This window comes from Homo sapiens, chromosome 13, assembly GCF_000001405.40.
Source record: "Homo sapiens chromosome 13, GRCh38.p14 Primary Assembly".
Taxonomy (NCBI): domain Eukaryota; kingdom Metazoa; phylum Chordata; class Mammalia; order Primates; family Hominidae; genus Homo; species Homo sapiens.
In genome coordinates this window covers 109,577,501-109,582,248 of record NC_000013.11, presented here as the reverse complement: position 1 = coordinate 109,582,248, position 4,748 = coordinate 109,577,501, and positions in this window count along the sequence as shown.

Here is a 4,748-nt window from a genome sequence, read left to right as displayed (position 1 = left end):
TCAGGAAAAGAGAACCTTTCTTTGGCATCTCTCTGACATTCATCAAGATGTCCCCTACTGATCATGGTATCCTGTTTTCTCTCATTTCTTAATATTCTTTAATACAGTCAGCCTTCCATATCCGCAGTTATGCATCGGTAGATTCAACAACCATAGATTGAAAAATTCAAGAAAAACAATTAAAAAATAAAAAGTACAACAATGAAAACTGATACAAAAAAATACACCACAACAAATATTTGTATAGCATTTACCTTTATTAGGTATTATAAATAATCTACAGATGATTTAAAGTATACGAGAGAATGTGCAGTGGGTTATATGTAAACACTACATGATTTTATTTCATTGATTTGAGCATCAATGGATTTTGGTATCTTTGGGGGTCCTGAAACCAATCCCCTGCAAATACTGAGTGAAGACTGTACTGCTCTTCCTTTGGTGGGTGGCAGATCTAAGGACAGAAAGAAAGTTTGTGGTGATGAACATGTGGTGTTGGGAGAAGGTGGTTGGGGAACCACTGGTTAGGTTTTCTTTACACCTAACACAGTGTGGAGTACTGATATGGTTTGGATCTGTGTCCTCACCCAAATCTCATGTTCAATTAAATCCCCAGTGTTGGAGGTGGGACCTGGTGAGAGGTGATTCGATCATGGGGGCGGATTTTCTTAAATGATTTAGCACCATCCTTCTTTGGTACTGTACAGTGAGTCCTCATGAGATCTGGCTGTTTAAACATGTGTGGCACTTCCCTCTCTCTTTCTTGCTCCTGCTCTGGCCATGTGATGTGCCTGTTTCCTCTTTGTCTTCTGCCATGATTGTAAGATCCTGAAGCCTCCCAAGAAGCTGAGCAGATGCCAGCACCATGCTTCCTGTATAGCCTGCAGAACCGCGGGACAATTAAACCTCCTTCCTTTATGAATTACCCAGTCTCAGGTATTTATTTATAGCAATGTGAGAATAGACTAATACAAGTATCTAACAAGAAATGTAACATCTCATGTAAGCATCAAAATAATTATATGATTTAGCTTATTTTTTTCATTTTATAACTAAGGAAATGTATCTTAGTTTTACCCCTTACTTCCTATATTAGTCAGGGTTCTCTAGAGAACCAGAACCAACAAGACAAACACACACACACATACACACATGCACACACACATATTTATTATCGGGAATTAGCTCATGTGATATGGAGCCCAAGAGGCCTCAAGTTCTGCAATTGGCAGAACAAGAGAGTCCACATGTGGTTCCAGTCCAGGTCTGAAAGCCTGAGAACAGGGGAGCCACTGGTGTAAGGTCCAGTCTGAAAGCTGGCAGGCTCGAGACCCAACAAAAGTTGATATTTCAGTCCTAGTCTGAAGTTCAGAAATGACTGATGTCCCAACTCAGCAGTCAAACAGGAGGAGCTCTCTCTTACTGTGCCATTTTGTTCTATCCAGGCTGTCAACTGATTGGACAACGCCGACCCACATTAGGGAGGGCAATCTACCGTACTCAGTCTCCTGATGCAAATGCAAGTTTCTTCCAATAATACCCTGGCAGGCAAACACCCAGAGGAATGTCTGATCAAACGTCTGGGCACCCCATGGCCCAGTCAAGTTGAGGTACAACATTAATAATCACACTCCCTAAATACTTAGAGATGTGATAGTAGTTTAAATGCTTAAAGATGCCATAGTAGTTGAAAAAGAGGGTTACATCTGCCCGTCATATCTCTTTTGGGGTATCTTTGGTATATTAGGAAATGGGTGGTAACCCCTTGGCAGTCCAGAGTGTGAACTATGGGTAACAATGTCTGTGAGGTTTAATGAAATGTGGGTATAACAAGTAAGTATGCATACAGTAGGCTTTTGTAGCATTTTGCACACTGAATAACACCAAGTATATCATATATAATTTGCCTTTCCAAATAAACACAGCTCTCCATGCAACCTGAATACACAGACTTCTCTCTGAAACAGCCTGAGGCTCATTCCAAAATCTCAGTGACCCAAGTATTAAAATTATTCTTTATACTATTTTTTTCTTTCTGGGAGTAAATATCGCAGGGAATTTATCTATTCCTTAAGCGGCTACCCCATTTCAAAAGATAAGTCTTCTATGTTTTAAAGAAAAGAGTAGGTCTTGTATTAGGAGGGTGCAGGCTTCAATTTTCCTACCGCTGAGGGAAATAGGCTTTCCTTTAAGAGAAAATCTCCATGGACAACCTCCCCGCCCCCACAAACGTGTACACACACATACACATGTGCATGCATACATGCATGTACTCACTGTAAGTAAAAAATGAAAAGGGAAGGCAAAGATTCAAGTTGAAAAGCAGTGTGCCCCTGGGATCTCGTCTACTTTTCTTAGGCAATTTTCATGTCAATGGGAAAATAGAAAATGTGAATAAGAGCTTGTTTTTCAAACCTGAGGGAAGATTCTATCTTTACCCCCAAATTCCAGTGCATTCTGTGAGAGCTGTCAATTTAGGTAGGCTTTTTAAGTAAAACTCCCAGCTTACCTTTCTTTTAGATGGGGCTTGGCTCGCTGTCACTGACATAATATCATCTCCCCCCTGCCATCATCAATGCTATAGGTATCTACAGCTTTACTATTTTACAGGTAGAACTGTTACCAAAAACTCAAGCCTTTTTCTTTACGTGAAACAACACATGGTTCCATTTTAACTATTTGCTTGCTCATGATCGTAGTTGATGGGAAGGACCTCCTAGGATTGTACTAATTTAAATTAATTTATTTTGTATAGAGATGGTGAAGGCTAGATCCTATCTTTTCATTATTTTCAATAGTTTCTAACTTTTTGCTAATCCCTAAGCCTTTATTGGCTACCAACCAAATCTGAGGCAGTGATTTCTTATCCATTTCCATACTGTTTAAACAGCAACCTCAAGACCTTACCATTGTCTCTCAAGATGCCCCCATCAAATTTTATTGAACATAAGTTTGCTTCTTGTCTTATGATTTGATATTAGCTCAGGCGTTCCCCAGGGTTCTGTTTCAGTATGCGCCCTTGTGGCTTGTCCCCGAGGGCTCTGTCTTAGATGGGATGCCCCATGACAGACCTTGACTATATTTTTGAATGTGGCTATCAGAGCTCCCTCAATATTTCACACAAATACTGTCAATTATAATGAAATGGAATAGTAAAGGAAAATCTCATTATAATAGATATCAGCCAGACTTAAAAACAAATAATATAATATTCAACCATAAAAGTATTTATTACTTGAATTAACTGTTATCATGATTTATTGACACAGTTCCCCTCCACATCAGACAATGGTTCCAAAGACATCATGGCGTACGTATTGCTTTTTAATCAGCATGCCAGATGGGCACCAGCAATAGCTCTCTGAGGAGTATGCTGATCCACTGCGGGGGTCCAGTGGGTGGAACTAGGGTGCACTGTAGAAAGACATTTCTGGGCTCCATCCCTTCCTCATGATGGTCTCAGAAGCCTTATCATTTCTCTGCTAGAGGTGTAAGAAGTTGCTCTACTTGAGCATGAATTTGTTTCCTTTCTTTCTTCAGCAACCCCATACCATTTCTATGCATACTGTAAACTTGGTGGTGGTAGAGGTTGCAGCTGGGAAGAGGCTATTTTACCAGTATCTATTATGGAAAGGGTAAGTGTCAGCATCTCATAAAATGCATGACAACTACAGAGTAAAGTAACAGAGTTAAATTTTTGGCCCCCTCAAAAGTTTACTTTGGGAAGCCATTCAGTTATCCCTGAGGATGCTGCCATCAGTAAAATCTAGCTCCATTCAGAGCCATTTTTATAATCACTTCCAAAAATATCCCTTGACTTTATGATTGCACTTCCTTTAACACTATGAACAAATTGTATTTAGCTTTAGACCTGACCACATTTACTACACTAGCATCACGGTCTTTAACTGCTTTCAAAAATCATACTTACACTAAAAGTTTGAAAACTTCATGCATTCAGGATATCCAGAAGATGCTACATTCTCTGAAGATAATTTTTAAAAAATGAGTTCCAAGGATGTTTTGAACAGTGGAAGGACAACTGAATTAAAGGCATGGTCTACCAGGTGATTACATTGCCTTTGGTGAATTAGGTTGAAAGCATTTGAGTTCCTATGTTTGTAGTTTTTAAAAGACAGCTGTATTAGTCCATTTTCACACTTATATATAAGTAACTTAGAAAAGAGGTTTAATGGACTCACAGTTCCACTTGGCTGGGGAGGCCTCAGGAAACTCACAATCATTGCTGAATGGGAAGCACACTCCTCGGAGAAGTATTGCTGGTGCCTATCTGGCATGGAGGGAGGGGAGAGAAAGAGCAAGGTGGGAAGTGCCAGTTTTAAACCATCAGATCTCATGAGAACTCACTCACTCACTGTCATGAGAACAGCATGGAGGAAACCCACCCCCATGATCCAGTCACCTCCCACCAGGTCCCTCCGTCAACTCATGGGGATTACAATTTGAGATGAGATTTGAGTGGGGACACAGAGCCAAACCACATCAACATCTTATATCATGTAGTTGTCTACCTACGTGAGTAAAGAGAAAGGGGTGGGTACCAATACCTACAGAGTGGCCAGGTGTGTAGCTCTCGTTCTCTGTCAGATTTTGAGAAGCCTGCTTATGACTGGACTTGTGTAACTGTCTCCAGCCTGTCCCAGTCATGGGCCAGTCCAGCAAGATTCTGGGGGCAGCCAATGGCTGGATCCTTCCCACTTTCTAAAAATGAAATAAAAAACAGATTG